Source organism: Homo sapiens, chromosome 10, assembly GCF_000001405.40.
Source record: "Homo sapiens chromosome 10, GRCh38.p14 Primary Assembly".
NCBI classification, from domain to species: domain Eukaryota; kingdom Metazoa; phylum Chordata; class Mammalia; order Primates; family Hominidae; genus Homo; species Homo sapiens.
The window spans coordinates 59998062-60017919 of record NC_000010.11 but is presented as its reverse complement, the minus strand read 5'-3'; the positions used below and the strand labels follow the sequence as shown (position 1 = coordinate 60017919).

The 19858-nt window shown below is 40.5% G+C and overlaps 1 annotated feature.

The window, feature by feature from the left end:
• Positions 13796-14542: an enhancer, noted in NCBI's record as "OCT4-NANOG-H3K27ac-H3K4me1 hESC enhancer chr10:61763136-61763882 (GRCh37/hg19 assembly coordinates)". NCBI's record gives its function as "activates a minimal SCP1, AML or CMV promoter by ChIP-STARR-seq in naive H9 embryonic stem cells {active_cell/tissue: H9 hESC(naive)}" and the evidence as "EXISTENCE:reporter gene assay evidence [ECO:0000049][PMID:30033119]".

Here is a 19858-nt window from a genome sequence, read left to right as displayed (position 1 = left end):
TATTTTGTTAAAACCCTCTCAGAAAATGTGATTCTGGAATGATCTCAGGAACTGAGATGGAACTCAGTTCCAAAATCTGCTCCCTCACAAGAGTACTTTTGGCAGTACTTAGATTCTCCCCTCTCTAGATTCCCTCTCCTTGCCCTGTGGCTTAACAGCATTGTTTATTCTCCTATCTCTTCCTTCTCTCTGCCCTCTCTATTAATTGTGAGCTCTTCAAGATAAGTGATCATGCCTTATTTGTTCTGCTGTACTAAATACTCTATGAAATGTGAGGACTACCCATCCTACCCCATGACAGCTCACTCCCAGTGTTTCAACTGTCTGATTATCATCCTACTGTATGCTCAACCAATTCTTTGAACATAGCATACTTTGTTGCAAAATACACTTCCTTTTATTAATACAGTCATCCCTCAGAATCCATAGGGGATTTGTTCCAGGACCCCCAGGAGATAACAAAATCCACAGATGCTCAAGTCCCTGATATAAAATGGCATAGTATTTGCATATAACCTATGCACACCCTCCTATATACTTTAAATCATTTCTAGATTACTTATAATACCTAATACAATGTACATGTCATGTAAATAGTTATACTGTACTAGTTAGTGAATGACAAGAAAAAAGCCTACACATGTTCAGGACAGATGCAACCATCCAGTTTTTTTTTTCCCAAAAAAATATTTCTGATCTACAGTTGGTTGGATTCGTGGATGTGCAGCCCACGGATATGGTGGGAAGACTGTATATGGCCAAAGAAAATTCTACGAACAGTAATAATACACTTCCTTTCTTCTGTCTCCTCTTTATCAGCCATTTTTTTGTTTGATTTCACCATCCTAGGAGGTAGACAGGGCAGAAACCAAAGAGTGTCAGGAGTCACATAGCAAGTCAGTGGCAGAGTTGGGCGGATCCAGTGCTATTAGTACAGTCATACATAACTAGATGCATACCCATAATTAGATTTTTTTAAATAACTACTTTCCCAATACATGCAAAGGCTCAGGAAAGCAAGGGCTGGTTTTCCATTCTCTAGTAACTCTTAAGACCTTTTTAAGTGGGAAATTTTTGTACCATTGGTTTGGACATGGGATACATTTATTAGGATGAAACCATTAAAGTTTCTGAGAACTAGAAATTATTCAGAAACCACCAATCTGAAGGCCACTCTGAAAAAAGTCAAGGAAGGATAAAGAAGAGTAGGTTGGGCATAAATTGGAGTTAAAATATCAGCATTATGAGGGACTTCCCTACCTTATAAACAATTGCCCTAACTTTTACTACAATAACAAAATAAATGCTTCTGTGTAAGAAGAGTTGAAACTGTCATGTCAATTTTAAATGCAAAAAAAATTTATAATTTCAAATCAAGAGGATTGTTATAAGGCTTAAATGAAATAATTCTTGTAAAATACTTATCATACCTAGAACAAAATAGTACCAAGTAAATAGTAGCTATTTTTGTCACATTAGTATTTACTAATGTTCCCTGACGTAAGAATCACCTGGAGTGTACCTGTCAAAAATATCATTTCTGGGGCCTATACAAGGCCCATTAAGACAGAATCTCCAAGCAAGGAGACCCATAAGCCCTATGTTTACAGTTGTATTTTACATGATGAGTAAGGGAAAAATTCTATACTAAGAAATTGTGGCCATCTTAGTGATTTTCCATTAATCCCAGGATGTGTTTGGCACAGGGTGGTAGGGTCTGGCATTCAGGCCACTCTTCTTCCCTCTCCACATTCAAGTCTTCTAGTATCTAATTTATAAATATAGGAAATATTTTAATATTCTTTCAGTAAAAGCAGAGAAAATCTTTTCTGGTTACTGTGTTCATACTGAGTAGAAGAACCTGTTACTGAAAAACCAGGGGTTCGGTCTTGGTCCTGCTGCTCGCTGCACAGAAAGCCAATCACTATGATGCCGAGTATTGCCAAGGAAGAAGGCTTTAATCAGGTGCTGCAGCCAAGGAGATGGGAGCTCAGTCTCAAATCCATCTCCCTGACTAAAACCAGGTGTTCATTTGGCAGGCAAGAGAGATAAAAATGTGTAAGAAAACAGGAACCTGGGAGAGGCAAGGAAGCAATCTTGGGGAATTAGGGGTCGGCATCTGGTGTGGTGATCTGATTTCAGTTCTTTCATACTTTTCTGAGAGGCCTAAAGGTCATTTCCTGAGGAATGAACTCAGATAAAACAAATGTAAGTTTCAGGCTTTTTAAGACCAGAAGGGTCAATTTCTATGATTATCAAATAGAACAGTCCATGGGGCAATTGGGTTGGTTTCAAAATGACTTTAAATGGAAATATGTATTTTTTAAATCCCCAATTCATCTTTACTGCATTTGAAAGTCATTGATACTTAACAAAATCAACCTAGTTTTCCATTTGCACAGACATCTGGGAAAATCCTGGGACAGAAGGGACTTGAAAAGAAGAAATGGATAAAATAGAATATATTAAAGCTGGCCAGTATGAATCAAATAAACGTGTATAGATTTAATATACTTAATATTTTACCAGTGAAATAATATAACAATATCAAGGATATTTTGAAAGAAGAAAAAAGCCACCTAAAATCCTACTAGCATCATGACTACACCAGGCCCTCCAGTCCACGTGTTCTGCATCTGTGGATTCAACCAAGCATGGATCAAAAATGTCTTTAACAAAATGGGTGGTTGCGGCCAGGCACAGTGGCTCACGCCTGTAATCCCAGCACTTTAGGAGGCCAAGGCGGGTGGATCACCTGCGGTTAGGAGTTCGAGACCAGCCTGGCCAACATGGTGAAACTCCATCTCTACTAAAAATACAAAAATCAGCTGGGTATGGTGGTACACACCTGTAATCCCAGCTACTCAGGAGGCTGAGGCAGGAGAATCGCTTGAACCTGGGAAGCGGAGGTTGCAGTGAGCGGAGATCATGCCACTACACTCCAGCCTGGGCGACAGAGGAAGACTCCGTCTCAAAAAAAAAAAGATGGCTGCGCCTGTATTGAACAATTATAGACTTTTTTTGTGTCAATTATTCTCTAAACAATACAGAACAACAACTATTTACATAGCATTTACATTGTATTAGGTATTATATCTAACCTAGAGATTTTTTTTGAGATGGAGTCTCACTCTGTTGCCCAGGCTAGAGTGTAGTGGAGTGATCTTGGCTCACTGCAACCTCCACCTCCCTCGTTCAAGCAATTCCCCTGCTTCAGCCTCCCGAGTAGCTGGGATTACAGGTGCACGCCACCACGCCCAGCTAATTTTTTTTGTACTTTTAGTAGAAACGGGGTTTCACCATGTTGGCCAGACTGGTCTTAAACTCCTGACCTCAGGCAATCTGCCCATCTCGGTCTCCCAAAGTGCTGGGATTACAGGCCCTAGCGATTATTTAAAGCACAAGTGTGATGGTTAATACTGAGTGTCAACTTGATTGGATGGAAGGATGCAAAGTATTGATCCTGGGTGTGTCTGTGAGGGTGTTGCCAAAAGAGATTAACATTTGAGTCACTGGGCTGGGAAAGGTAGACCCACCCTTAATCTGGGTGGGCACCGTCTAATCAGCTGCCACCAAGGCTAGAATATAAAGCAGGCAGAAAATAAACGTGAAAAGGCTAGACTGGCTTAGCCTCCCAGCCTATATCTTTCTCCTGTGCTGGCTGCATCCTGCCCTCAAACATTGGACTTCAAGTTCTTCAGCTTTGGGACTGGGACTGGCTTTCCTGCTCCTCAGCTTGCAGATGGTCTATTGTAGGACCTTGTGATTGTGAGAGTTAATACTACTTAATAAACTCCCCTTTATATATATATATATATATATATATATATATATATATATATCCTACTAATTCTGTCCCTCTAAAGAATCTTGACTAATACAGCAAGCATACTTCATATTATTGTGCTTTGCATACACTCCTCTTCAGAAAAAAAAAATTGAAGGTTTGTGGCAACCCTGCATTTAGCAAGCTTATCAGCACCATTTGTCCAACAGTACACACTCACTTCATGTCTTGGTGTCACATTTTGGTAGTTCTTGCAATATTTCAAACTTTTTCATTATTATTATATCTGTTACTGTGATCTGTATTAAATGATCTTTGATGTTACTATTTTAATTGTTTTGGGGTGCCATGAACCACTCTTATGTAAGACAGTAAACTTAATTGATAAATGTTTTGTGTTCTGACTGTTCCACTGATCAGCTGTTCCCCATATCTCTCCCTCTCCTTGGGCCTCCCTGTTCCCTGAGACACAATGATATTGAAATTAGGCTAATTAATAACCCTTCAATGGCTTCTGAATGTTCAAGTAAAAGGAAGAGCTGTATGTCTCTCACTGGAAATCAAAAGCTAGAAATAATTATGCTTAGTAAGTAAGGCATGTCCAAAGCCAGTATAATCTGAAAGCTAGGACTCTTGCACCAAGCAATTAGCCAAGTTGTGAATATAAAGGAAAAGTCCTTGAAGAAATTAAAAGTGCTCCTCCAGTGAACAGAAAAATGATAAGAAAGTGAAACAGCGTTATTGCTGATATGGATAAAATTTTAGTGGTCTAGATAGAAGATCAAAGAAGCCACGATATTCCTTTAAGCCAAAGCCTATTCCAGAGCAAGGCCCTAACTCTCTTCAATTCTATGAAGGTTGAGAGAGGTGAGAAATCCACAAAAGAAAAGTTGGTAGTTAGCAGAGGTGGAATCCTGAGGTTTAAGGAAAAAAGCTGTCTCCATAACAAAAATGCAAAGCGAAGCAGCAAGTGCTGATGTGGAAGCTGCAGCAAGTTATCTAGAAGATCCAGTTAAAATCATTGATGAAGATGGCTACACTAAACAACAAACTTTCAGTGTAGACAGAACAGCCTTATATTGGGAGAATAGGCATTTAGGATTTTCATAGTTAAAGAGGAGAAGTCAATGCCTGGCTTCAAAGCTTCGAAAGACAGGATGGCTCTCTTGTTGGGGGCTAATGCAACTTGGGACTTTAAGTTGAAGCCAATGCTGATTTTCCATTCCAAAAATCCTAGGGCCCTTAAGAATCATGCTAAATAGTCTGAGTGTGGTCGCTCACGCCTGTAATCCCAGCACTTTGGGAGGCTGAGGCAGGCAGGTCACTTGAGATCGGGAGTTCAAGATCAGCCTGGTCAACATGGAGAAAACCCGTTTATGCTAAAAATACAAAAATTAGCCAGGCGTGGTGGCAAGTGCCTGTAATCTCAGCTACTCGGGAGGCTGAAGCATGAGAATCACTTGAACCTGGGAGGTGGAGGTTGCAGTGAGCCAGGATCATACCACAGCACTCCAGCCTAGGTGACAGAGTGAGACTCCATCTCAAAAAAAATAAAATAAAAAAGAATCATGCTAAATCTACTCTTCCTGGTGCTCTATACATGGAACAACAAAGCCTGGATGAAGCATATCTTTTTACAGCATAATTTACTGAACATTTTAAGCTCACTGTTTAGACCCACAGCTCAGAATATTTTTTTCAAAATATTACTGCTCATTGACAATGCACCTCATCACACATGAGCTCTGATGGAGATGTACAAGGAGATTAATGTTGTTTTCATGCCTAACACAATATCCATTCTGCAGCCCAAGGATCAAAGAGTAACTTAAACTTTCAAGTCCTGTTATTTAAGAAATATACTTCATAAGGCTGCAGCTGCCATAGATAATGATTCCTCTGATGGATGTGGGCAAAGTAAATTGAATGCCTTCTGGAAAGGATTCACCATTCTAGATGCCATTAAGAACATTCATGATTCATGGGAGGTCAAAATAGCAGCATTAACAGAAGTTTGGAAGAAGGTGACTCCAGTCCTCATGGATGACTATGAGGATTCAAGACTTCAGTGGAGGAAGTAACTGCAGATGTGGTGGAATTAGCAAGAGGACTAGAGTTAGAAGTAGAGCATAAAGATGTGACTGAATTTCTGCAATCTCATGATAAAACTTGAGCAGATGAGAAGTTACTTTTCATGGATGAGCAAAAAAAACTTTTTAATGGTTTTCCTGGGATGGATTCTACTGGTAAAATGCTGTGAACATTGTTGAACTGACAAAGGATCTAGAATATTACATAAACTTTAGGTGATAATGCAGTGGCAGCATTAGAGAGGACTGACTCCAATTTTGAAAGAAGTTCTGTGGGAAAAATCTATCAAATAGCATCATATGCTGCAGAGAAACTTTCCTTTTTTTTTTTTTTTTGAGATGGAGTTTCGCTCTTGTTGCCCAGGCTGGAGTGCAATGGCACGATCTCGGCTCATCACAACCTCCACCTCTAAGGTTCAAGCAATTCTCCTGCCTCAGCCTCCCAAGTAGCTGGGATTACAGGCATGTGCCACCACGCCCAGCTAATTTTGTATTTTTAGTAGAGTTGGGGTTTCTCCATGTTTATCAGGCTGGTCTTGAACTCCTGACCTCAGGTGATCCGCCCGCCTCGGCCTCCCAAAGTGCTGGGATTACAGGAGTGAGCCACCATGCCTGGCCGAGAAACTTTCATGAAAGGAAGAGTGAATCAATACAGCAATCTTCATTACTGTCTTATTTTAAGAAATTGCCACAGCCACCCCAATCTTCAGCAGCCACACTCTGATCAGTCAGCAGCCATCAACACTGAGGCAAAAAGATTATGACTCACTGAAGGCTCAGATGATTGTTAGTATTTTTAGCAGTATTTTTTAATTAAGGTATGCACTCTTTTAGACATTATGCTATTGCACAGTTAATAGACTACAGTATAGCATAAAAGTAACTTTTATATGCACTGGGAAACCAAAAAAATTTGTGCGACTCACTTACTGTGATATTTGTATTACAGTGGTCTAGAACCAACCCTGCAATATCTCTGAGGGATGCCTCTATATAAGAGGATATGCATAGATTATATGTATATACTACATCACTTTATATAAGGGACTTGAACATCTGTGGATTTTGGTATCCACAAAGGGTCCTGGAACCAATCCCACACCGATACCAAGACAACTACATTTCGTTTCTGTAATTTCCCTCTCAGTTATTTGTATGATTCTGTGTGTGTGTGTGTGTGTGTGTGTGTGTGTGTGTGTGTGTGTGTGTGTTGGGAGAATTGCTCAATGTCTTCTTGGTCTGTGCCCTTTTAAACTAGTTGTACTAAAGAGAACATTTGTCATGTGACTACAAGCAAAGAAAGGGCCAGAAACCTTTTTGTCATAATACTGCAAAGCTGGTTACTTTTGACAGTGCAAAAAAGGCTAAATGTTAACAGGTGCTGGACCTTGAAGAAAAAGGAGTGGGTGTGTAGCAGAGATGGAGGAATCGGGATGGAAAGAAATGAAGGAGTCCATAGAGGGCAGAAGCTCCTCAGCAACAGTGAGAGCAATGGCATGGGCAGCCCCAAGAGTTCAAAAGGAAAATCTATCATATGTGAGGGACTAAATAGAATGAGCTGAACAGAGTAGAGAAGCCATCACTATTCCTGTTTTTCTTGGGTGGGGTGGGGAATGATTCCATGTGGATCACAGTAAGCACTTGAGTGCAATGTAAGGCCTATTCTCTATAACCTTCCAGATTGCATTTATGACCATTCAGCTGGAGTAAGACTAATATTCAAAACAGTCCCAATTTTTAGATTTCAAGGACAAGGAAAACAGAGCTTCATGTGCATACATGATTTTATGTAGTTTATATCCTGCTGTACTAGTTATATGACCTAGGGCAATTTACATAACCGTTATGTTTCTTCATCTGGCAAATGGGGGTGATAGTTTTACCAACCACAGATGGTGAAGATGAGATCATCCATATAAAGCACTTCAAAAATATCTGGCACAGAGTAAGTGTGCTCCATAAATGTTACCTGCTTTTTATTACTGGTAGTGGTGGTGGATTATGCTTAGAGGTAAAGCAGAGGAAAATGCCTTGCTTGGGTCTCTCTGGCTTATGGGTAGTGGTGCATGCAGGTGGGAGGCTCATGACAACCTTTCACGCTCTAGGATGCTACAGGCTGCTGCAGAGGCCTGGGGACACCCACTCTGGCTTCCCTCCACTTCAGTCCTGCCTCCAGTCTGCTTCTAAGACCTCAGGGCTCCAGCAGTCTTCTCTCTCCCACCCACACTCCAAGGCAAATGGGCTCCATTCCTAGCCCAGGATCCTAAGAAACTTTACCCTTAGGACCCCTTAGGCAGGATCCTAAGAAACTTTATCCCTTCTCTACCATGCAGCTCCCCCTCTCTAAAGTCAATCACTGACTCCCTTCTCTAAAGTAGAAAGGTCCCTCTTAGAATAATAGTTTCCAATTTCATTTGTATTTCTCTAAATCCACTTCTGCTCCAAGGAAAAAGGGAAAATTTTGTTGTTGTTGTTCAGAGTCATAAAATATGTGTCTACCTTGGGTGGGGAGTAGCAGTTGAGTCATGGGAAACTTCTATCCAGAACTTATTTTTATGAGTTGAGCCCACATCAGTTAACTATGCCAACTGATTAAGATAAGAAGCTTTTGGTTCTTGGATGATTTATCTAATTCGATTTGGGATGATGAAGAGGTAATGTTCAAAGCTTACCAAGTCATAAATGAGTGAATTCCCTAGAAAATAGGATATCGGAAGGGAGAACTCCCTCTTCTGGGTGCAAGCTGGGCAGTGACCCAAACCAGAAAGCATGCTGAGTTACAGGTATGGATGAGAGACCATGCCACACTAAAGATCTGTAATCGCAGGCAGCAAAGTCAAGGCGGGCTTTGGGTGTTCTCATGAGGATACTGGAAAGCTTCTGACAGCACTAACCTAGAGGCAACGCTGAGTTTGGCAACCAAGCAGTTGGGATAGGAGGTGAGTCAGGAAAGAATTCAGGATTGTTGTTAAATGCTTTCCCTGTTGCTTGGGTCTGCCACCTTCAAATGTGGCGCTGTTCACTCTGGGAGCATCTTAAAGGTACCACTTTTAGACTTCCGAAGTCTTCTGCAAAGTACAAAGTGCCTCAAAAACACAGGTTGTTTTTAATGCTATTGTTATCAACAGTGTATAGTGGCACTGATTCATCAGAAATCATTCAAAGTCTGTTTGCTTTTCACAACTATTTTCTTGGCCAAGGGACTAGGTGTTCTTTTTTTTTTTTCTTTTGAGATAGTCTTGCTTTGTCACCCAGGCTGGAGTGCAGTGGTGCAATCTCAGCTCACCGCAGCCTCTGCCTCCTGGGTTCCAGCGATTCTCCTGCCTCAGCCTCCTAGGTAGCTGGGATTACAGGCTCCCACCACCACGCCCGGCTAATTTTTGTATTTTTAGTAGAGACGGGGTTTCTCCATGTTGGCCAGGCTGGTCTGGAACTCCTGACCTCAGGTGATCCACCCACCTCAGCCTCCCAAAGTGCTGGGATTACAGGCGTGAGCCACCGCGCCTGGCCTAGACATTCTTAATTCCAGTGCTTTGCTGCTTTTATTTCTTTGCTACTTTGTACCCAATAGGGGAAAGTAGGAATATTAGACTCCAAAGAGTTATTTTCTTCTGATTTCTCTAGTTTTCTGGGTGCTATAAGTTTTCTTTTTTTTTTCTTTTTTCTTTTTAAGTCTGTTTTAAAACAACAAAATGATTAATTTAAGTACTAGTTAAAAGGAACTTGTTCTGTTGTCACAAAGTCTCCTGAAGACATCAAGCAAGTAGGTAGAAGTATGGAGAAGTGAACAGGCACAGGCTTCTCAGTGTGACAGATATGGGTTCAAATCCTAACTCGGATTGTAGGCAAATTTTATTTCCATATATAGCTAGGACACTAACCCTACCTTGCATGGGTATTTGAGGATTCAAGAGAATATATCCTTGTCCAGTCTACCATATAATTGATCCTCAAAATAAATGGTAGCTGTTATTTTAGTCAGACACAGAATTTTGATTAGAAATTAAATTACCATGGCCCTAATAGAGTCAGGTTGAACACTATGCAGACATAGCAAATAAGTCATTTTAAAGGTTCCTTGCACTGTGGCAGGAATGCAGCCTGGTGGGGTAGGAATAAAAGATAGAAAAATGGCAGGGAGCAAATGGATTGTGAGTCAAAAACATTCTTTATCTTTAAATGTGCCCCATTATAACTACTCTGAAAACTATTAGTACTAAGACACATTTCACATTGTTTATAGAGAAATTAAACTGTAACAAAACGTATACCAAAAAAGGCCTTTCTATTCTTGACACATGGAACTGAAAATGTCCATCTTTACCACCTACTCCAAAGAGGGGGAAAATGGGTAAAACTTGTTTATATCTTAGAAAACACATAATGCTTAAGATACCTCATTATTAAGTACATTTTATTGACTTCTAAAACTGAGTTATGTGGATTGCTATTAGATCTGAAGTCTGCTTATTGTCTGTACTGCACGGAAAAAATGGTTTTAAGTATATTTATATTTACATCCCCTCATTTGTCTAAAGTCTCAAGCTGTTGTCATGCAACTACATTCCCTGAGGATCGTATTAGGTATGTTTGCATTCTGTGCAAAGTGATTACCAGTATTTGTCACACTTGCCAATCCCATGTGGAGGAAAGCTGATTATTCATGATTCAGATATAAGTATCTAGTGTAATCCACTAGCTTGAACTGAAATGGAGCTGAAGTGGTATTGATGGCTACAGAATGACGAGGAGGAGGAGGAAAAGAGTAAGAAAAAAATCACCTAGTGCAGTGGCTCACACCTATAATCCTAACACTTTGGGAGGCTGAGACTGGTGGATCACTTGAGCCCAGGAGTTCAAGACCAGCCTGGGCAACATGGCAAAACCGCATCTCTACAAAAAATACAAAAAATTAGCTAGGCATGGTGGCACATTCCTGTGGTCTCAGTTATTCGGGAAGCTGAAGTCCCAGCTATTTGGGAGGAAGCCCAGGGAGGTCGAGGCTGCAGTTAGCCTGGTTAGGGAGACCTTGCAACTGTGAAGGACACTCAATGCTACCACTGCTGGCACTGGTGTGAACCCGAAACTGTCCCTGCTTCTTTGTGACATTCACTCCAGACACAAAGTTCTGGCGGGGATGGTCTGACAGACTAAGCTCAGGAACTTAGGTTGTGTCCTAGTGGTCAGCGGTCTAAAGGATTTGGCCTTTTTCAACTTCCACAGTTTAAGGTGGAACCCTCACCTCCTACCAGACTCACCAAACAGAAGGTGGCTTAGATGTTTGGCAGCCTCCCCAAAATGCCAAGATTCCCTCACAGAAGGTTTCCTTTGTGTTTCTGATTTATATACTCTATCTTCAGAGAACACTTAACGAAGGCTAACAATAAAAAACACTGATTCGATGTCTGTGTTAAAACAAAAGAATAAAACCTAGAAGCCATGGGACAAGGCCAGAAAGGTCTTAGGAAATTAGAGCAAAAGGATGCTAGAGGGAGAAAGAGAACATTTTTTCTTATTTTTTCTTTAATTCTTTTCCCTCTCACATTCTTCTCAGTAGTGTGAAAAGTTATTTTACAGAGGCACTCCCGGCCCACAGGGTTTCTAGAACTTGCTCTTCAGTCTTCTTGGATCAGTTTTCTTGAGGTTTATATATAAAGGGCTACTAATATACAATGCTGAGAATCTATACATGTTACTGGCCAAGGTATTAAAAGCAAAATCTTCCAGTCCGTGATTGAGGCCAAGTGTTGTGAAAGAAGGAGCTTTAGCCTGACTCATTCAAAAACCCATATCTAGTTCAAGGCTTTACCTCTTAGAAATGAGATGACCACAGGAATCCCATCTAACCTCCATCATGGTGCTCAAAGTGGCTAAATTGACAAAAGACTATAATGAAAGGTAAGGCGTTTCTGAGCAATCCAATGGACTTTTTTACCCACTCATTCATCTACTTATTCATTGAGTAACTACTATTTGATAAGCATAGCAAATAAGACAAAGGTTACTACCCTCAAGAAGCTTACATACTAATAGTTTAATCAGAGTTTGGATGAAAACTCAAATGCCATTGGTAGCTAAGAAGGTAAGAGAAACTGTGTGAGGCAGCTTTTTTTTTAATGTATCAGTATTGAGTGGTGGAGCCTATGGCAAGTCCTACCCAAAAGTATTCAATCTCATGTTTTTTAAAAAAGTCATATATGTAAAGAAGGAATTAAAACATAGGACATTATATGCAATAACATATGTATAAATTGATTCAGAGACTAGAAAGCTATTCGTTCTGCTCAGAGTGGAATGGTAAAGGTGTTAGAAAATCTTTCAAGAGGACATGATGCCTGAAAATGGTTTTGAAAGACCAAAGGAGATCCCCAGGTAGATAAGTGGGAGAAAAGCGAAGTACACATCATGTGCAAAGACATGTAGGATTGAAGCAATATGTATAATGGGCTCTATAAGATGTTTAATGTGACAGATCCAGAGGAAAGCAAGGAAGAAATGAAACTAGAGAGGAGATCTAGAGTCAATTAATAGAGGACCTGGTATTACTATCTTTAGAAAAGTAGGGAACAGAACAGAGGAAACTGAGAGGATCTGAAGTAGTTGGGAGGAAAGATTTAAGGAAGCATAAAAATAAAAGCAAAGAGAGCCATTAGAAGGGATAGCAACATCAAAGATGAAAGATAATGGGGCTTCAATGAAGTGTCTGTAGAGATGGAGAAATGCTAGATCTAAAGACTATCATGGGGATAAGACTGGAAAAAAGTTTAGTGGTTTAATAAATTTGTAGATTAACCTAGTGTGCTGCCATTGAAAGAGATCTATGAAAATCAGGGAAAGAGATCTATGGAAATCAGGGAAAATAAGAGAACAAGGATACCAGTGTCATAAAAGTCAACAAAGGAGACAACTTTAATTGGAGATGGATGTCAACAGTATGTAATGGGAAGATCAAGTAAGTTAAGAGCAGAGACATGTTTATTGATATTTAACAAGGCCTTTAGACTTTTGGTAAAAGCAGTATAAACAGTCTTAATGAATGGCAGTGGTTACCCCTAAACAGGGAAATATATCTGAGGAAGGGCATATATAAGTAGAGTCCACAGTGAAAAGCCCAATCCACTGACCCTGTATGATAGATTCAGGAAAAAAAGATGAAAAGGACCTGAACCTTATGACTCTGGTTTTGTTGTCAATATATACATTCCTCCTTCTTCTGGTGACAGCATCTTGATTTTTCTTTAGCAACTAACCCTCCATCCCTCAGAGTCTATTTGGTTTAGGATAGACATTCCCTAACCACCACATGGACACATGACTCAGACCTGGCCAATCATAGGATTCCATTCCCTTGGCCATAGCAATTGATTCAGTGATGAACCACAACCCAAGCCAGACCATGAGACACAATCCTTTGGTGTTGGCATATATTTTTGTTGTACTTTTTGTTTGGTGTGAATTAGGATGTCTTTTTTAGAGCTTTTGAGCTCCTTTCCTCTGGGATTACCAAGAGAAATTATCTTTCCTCTAGTATTATTGAAATTGCAGGACATAAGCCTGGAGGTGCTGGAAACCACCAGATGCAGAAGGCTTGCCTGGGAATAAGGCCAGCGCATAGGAAAGTAGAACTGAGAGATGGAAAAGAGGGCAGAGGAGGAGAAGAGAGAAAGTGGCTAGGTTCTAATGACATCATTTGAGCACTTGAAGCCAACAAATACTTTTCAGTAATGTGAGCCAATAAATCCTCTTTATTTAAGCCACTTAGAGTTGGGATTTCGGTCTCTTCTAGCCAAAAGAACCCTAATTTGAAACAGCGGATGGAGAGGTGTGGGAAGCAAACCAGTTTCAGTTCAGCCTTGCCTGGAGCCAGCTCTGATCATGGATCTCAAAGTTTGCCTTATCCCCCACCCTACTCAGCCAAAAAAAATAGTTTAGGTGTCTTATCATCTTAGTCCTCCAAAGGATTGATTCATTGAGAGGGGGCTGTGAGGAACCTTGCAGAATCTCAGCAGCTTGGCCCTGAGCCAGGACCAAATTGTTGCTGATGGATCAAGGTTTCTGGGAACCAGCTGTGAAGGAGAGATACCATATAATCCTTAGAATTCTTAGAGCAAGGACCCCTGACTGCTCCCGTTCTGCAAAAACTAAAAAATGGGAACCACCATTTTCTGCCAGAAAAAGGCAACATCTGGAGTGCAATTACCATAAGAAATGGAGTTGCAAACCCCTGCTACTCTGCATTTAAAGCAGACACAATGGCTTCTAGGCACAGTTGTGCTCAACTCCAGGGGCACCAAACACATTGTAGTTATGTGAATAGCATCCCTTGGAGTTATGCCATGCTCAACCTACACAGCCATATGTAATGATCCTGGCAGCTACTCGCTAATTAGTGAGAAAATTAGCATCCATCGACCCTCAAGTACAGAGAGACTTTGTATCTGTGTCAACTACAGAGAGGATAAGAGAGAAAAGAAACCATTTGCAACAGTTCAGATAGCAAAAATCTTTAGCATTTCAGTTATTCAGAAAGGAGCCAGCTGAGTTTTCTGTGTGAACCTACTTTGTCCCAGAGCCCTTGTCCCAAAGTGCAAATGTGAGGCAGGGTTCATGGCCAAGGATAACTCAACAGTCCATCCTGGTCTGAGTCCCCACATGCTCTCTTTCCTAAAAAGACTAATTTGGGCAAACACTGAGTAAAACAACTGGTACTCCAGAAAGCACCTGGATTTTTGGGCAAAAATAGTACTGAGCCAACTTAAACAAAAAACAAGTGGACTTAATTTAAATATGGACAGAGTCAGTTTGGGGTCACAATTAAACCCTCAGGATTCCACTGTGCCCCCTTCTCTTCCAGATGTGGGACACAGTAAAAATAGCTAAGATAGCCTGCTCATATGCACGTTCAGAAAAGATTTGCCCCAAATCTTTCCAAGGACTGATATTGAGTCTACTTTTCATGATGTGAACAGTGTGTCCAAATGAGGCCTAAATTCAGGTCTTTGCCCCTTATCAATTCCATGTGAGAAATACGAAGAGATTGCCTTTAATTTCCCAGAGTAGGGCCTCAAAGACCAAGCAATCCAGCCTAAAACTAATAAAAGCAGCATCCTGAAAAGAGTACTAAGCTTTCCCCCCCACACACTCAGAAAAAAATAAATAAATAAAAATAGGCCGGGCACGGTGGCTCATGCCTGTAATCTCAACACTTTGGGAGGCCGAGACAGGTGGATCACCTGCCTGAGGTTGGGAGTTCAAGACCAGCCTGGCCAACATGGTGAAACCCCATCTCTACTAAAAATACAAAATTAGCTAGACGTGGTGGCATATACCTGTAATCCCAGCTACTCAGGAGGCTGGGGCAGGAGAATTGCTTGAACCCGGGAGGCAGAGGTTACAGTGAGCCGAGATTGTGCCATTGCACTCCAGCCTGGGCAACAAGAGCAAAACTCCATCTCAAAAAAAAAAAAAAAAAAAAGGAAGGAAGAAAGAAAGAAAGACAAACCCAAAATCAATTCTCCTTTTTCTTTTTTAATAATTTCAACTTTTATTTTACAGTACATGTGCAGGTTTGTTACATGGGTATATTGCACGATGGTTGTGGCATACAATTGACCCCATCATCCAGCAGTGAGTGAGTCTAGTACCCACTATTAATTTTTCAATCCTTGCTCTCCTCCCTCCCCTCCTCTTAGTAGTCCCTGGTGTCTACTGTTGCCTTCTTTATGTCCCTGAATACCCAGTGTTTAGCTCCCACTTATAAGTGAGAACATGCAGTATTTGGTTTTCTGTTCCTGCATTAATTTGCTTAAGATAATGGCCTCCAGCTGTATCCATGTTGCTGCAAAGACCGTGATTTTGTGTTTTTATAGCTGCAAAAATCAATTTTTCTTATGTCTCCTGTGAAGCTGCAAAATACAAAGAAGCCATTTTCTCCATAACTGTAACCATCACAGGCAATCTATTTGCACTCACGGGTAAAGTCTGATCTGGAGTATTTTTTCTAAACTGGTGAGAACTTCCACTTGTAGCTAATGATCCCCTCACCTCACTTGCATTTTTTTCTGAGTAACAGTAACTTTCACCTTGGATGATCTAGTCCTTAAACGACTGTAATGTGTTTCCAAAGGGGCACTGTTTCAACATGAGAACTGCATTAACAATTGGCAGAAACCCTTGTTTTTTCTCTGTCCCACTTACCATACCATGATGGCTGTCCCAGGCCAATATTAAATATTCTGCTAGTTTACATTTGAGCAAATCAAACAAACACCTGTTGGTTCCCTTTAGTATTTCAGAGATAGGGAATACGGCTAGAAAGTCATAGTAGGAACAGCTACCACTTATTGAGTACCTCAGAGTGTTTTACATACATTATCTTTAATTCTTAGAATAACCCAGCAAAAGTGGTAGCACTTTTATTAGGGTTTTTTTTCCTCTTTTTTTTTTTTTTTTTTTGAGACGGAGTCTTGCTGTGTCACCCCAGGCTGGAGTACAGTGGCCCGATCTCAGCTCACTGCAACCTCCACCACCCTGGTTCAAGCAATTCCCCTGCCTCAGCCTCTGGAGTAGCTGGGATTACAGGCGCATGCCACCATGCCCAGCTAATTTTTTTGTATTTTTAGTAGAGACGGGGTTTCACTATGTTGGCCAGACTGGTCTCAAACTCCTGACCTCAGGCAATCCGCCCGCCTTGGCCTCGCAAAGTGCTGGGATTATAGATGTAAGCCACATGCCTGGCCAGAATTATTAGGTATTATTCCGTGGTGGACAGCTCTGTGCAAACTTAGCCCCAAAGTCCAAGAAAGTGGAGAAGTTGAAGAAAGAGACTGACATCGCCACTTTCTCAGAAAGAAACACCTAATAGGGACTTAAGAACTGAAGCCATGCTTGCGTCTCAGGTGGTGGCAAGATGAGATGGTGGATCCCCATGCCATTACCCTCCAGACGTAGGGCTTACATACCATAGGGGAGTAATGTGTAGGATAGTTATAGCGAAAGGCAAGAATGCTGTGTTAATCTGCATAAGGGCAGGATTTTTGGTTAAGGATGTTTAGACCTAAGAGTCAATACATCCTTTTACACAGGAAATGATATAATAGAAATCTTAGAGGCATTCCTGGAACTAGGGTTAATCAGAAGTCAACATGGTGGATTAGCATACAAGATGGAGTTGCTTTAGCTTCCGCAGGTGTTGAAACTGAAATTTAAACTCACATCTACCTAAGATGAAAGACCAGGATCTTAGGCCATGAACTTTCTCACTAAGTCAGCTTAACAGCAGAGAAGACAGGCATCCTTAACTCACAAAAAACTGGAGTTTTATCAACTTGACATCACACAAAGCACAATTCCTGTGATGACTGGTAGGGGATCCCAAATGTGCCAGAGGAGTGGTGACCAGTAGATTTTCTTTTTAATAACAAGCAGAGTTATTTAGTTCACAATTCTAGATGCTGTAAAGTTCAAGAGCATAGTGCTGGCACCTGGCAAGGACCTTCATGCTGTGTCATCCCATGGCATAAGGCAGAAGGGCAAGAAAGACCAAGATCAAGACAGCAAGAGGCCTAACTCACTTGTATAAGAAAAATGCTCCCAAAATACCGAGCCCACTCCCTCGATAACAACATTAATCCAACCATAAGGGCAGAGCCTCCATGACTTAATCTCTCCTCATTAGGCATCACTTCCCAACACTGTTGCATTGGGGATTAGGTTTCCAACACATGAACTTTGTGGGAAACCTTCAAACCATAGCATCCACCAAGGGAGACAGGAGTAAAAATTAGAGATATTGACAAGAAACAATGTCCCCAGTTAGTTTTTCAGGTTATAAATAGGCACATTTGCTCACATACTCATTTCTGCCCTCCCTTCACATCCTTATTTTGAGCATTATCTCTATGCCAAGATTTGTGATGATTATGTACTAAAAGATGAGGTCTCACTGGTTGGTCAACTAGCCCTGGTGTCACCATTCACAGCAGGAACAGGGAGGCAAGTGATGGCCTATAACATATCAATGCAGCAGTAGTAAAAAGCAGATGCCAATCTTCATGATGGAATCCAGACCCTGAAGGCACCCAAGTATACAATACCTAGACATAAAACATTAAGTCCAGGCACAGTCGACTCACGCCTGTAATCCTAGCACTTTGCAAAGTGGAAGAAGGAGGGTTTCTTCAGCCCAGAAGTTTGAGACTAGCCTGAGCAACATAGCAAGATCCCATCTCTACAAAAAAACTTTAAAACTTAGGCTAGTATGGTGGCATGCACCTATAGTCCTTGCTACTCAGGAGACTGAATTAAAAAGCAAGAGGATCACTTGAGCCCAGGAGTTTGAGGCTGTAGTGAGTCATAATTGTGCCACTGTACTCCAGCCTGGGTGACAGAGCAAGACCCCATCTCAAAAAAAAAAAAAACCACACAAACAACCTGAAGCACCTAAATGGAACACTTAAGAGGTTAAATATTTTCAGTGTGATAGTGAGAAGGAAGATTTAGATACCCATAACTGCCTGCCAATGACAAACTACCTTCTAAAACCCAAAGTGATGATTCTGTTAACATCACTGAACATGAGTAGGAGATAATGGAAAGTAAGGAATCCTTCACACCTCCAGCTCAAACAAGTGAGCAGGAGTTCACCAAAAATATCTGATCAATATGGTTCTCATAAAACTTTTAATATAATACTAGAGGTTACTTAAATGGACAAAATAAATGCCATTCTATTATATTGCAGGCATATTAGTTTACATATATTAAAATTTAAGTTGGGGGAAAACTAAACTAATGATTATATCACTGAAACACCAGGGGTTTGGTCTAGGTCCTGCTGATCACCACACAGAAAGCCAATGACTGAAACGACAAGTATTGCCATGGAAGAAAATTTTAATTGGGTGTTGCAGCCAATGACAAGGCAGCTCAGTCTCAAATCCAACTCCCTGACCCACAAAAACTAGGGGTTTATATAGCAGGGAAGAAATGTTAACAATGTGTAAGGAAATACGAACTAGGGAGGGGCAAAGAAGCAATCATGATGAGGATCCCATATCTCATTGTCTGGATGTGGTTGCTTTAGCCTGAAATTCTGATAAGTCTCAGTATTTTGATACTTTTTTTTTTTTTCTTGAGAGGTCTGAAAGTCATTTCCTGAGGAAGGAACTCAGATATAACAAATGTAAACTTCAAGCTTTAAGACCAGAAGGGTTAATTTCTATATTTATCCAAATACTATCTATGGGACTATTAGGTCAGTTTCAATTAATTTCCTGGATTTTAGTTATAAAATGTTATAGATTTTAGAATATGAAGTAACTTTCTCTGCTTCTAAATTTGAGATTTAAAATATTAAGAATTTTAAAAGGTAGGTGTCCTAAAATTAAAATTAAATCTTATTTCTTAAAAAAACCCTCAGTTGATTTTATCTTCACATAAAAGGTCATGGTAAAATAACTAATCTTCTATTTTTGAAAAATAAAAAATATATCAATGTTTTCAAACATATGCTTTTTAAAAATCACAGGGAAAAATATAATCTAATAAGAGATTCATGGATCTGTAAAGAGTTGAGTAGTTGAGTGGTCAGAGGGTCCACTAATACTCTGAAGCCTTTTGTGTGTTTGTGTGTAAGTGCCGTCAGTGGAAAAAGAGGGGAGGGAGTTAGTAATTTTTTCAGATTCTCAAAGGTGTATGTGACCCACATGAGGGTTGATATTGACTGTAGGAAAGTATGAGAAAATGTTAAAACCTTGTCAGTTACTGGAAGCTATGACTATCTCTGATTAAAGTCCAAAACAAAAACTAGCTAAAATATAGGTACAAAATCTGAACTCCAACATTCAGATGAATTAAAGTTCCTTGGGGGCAATAAAAGAACAGACTCTCTCTGTGGCCCTCAGTAGCACCCATTGAGCCAATAGTCCATCAGGTCATTGTTGTTTCTATCCCTCCACAAAGAACCAAGCCCACAATGTGT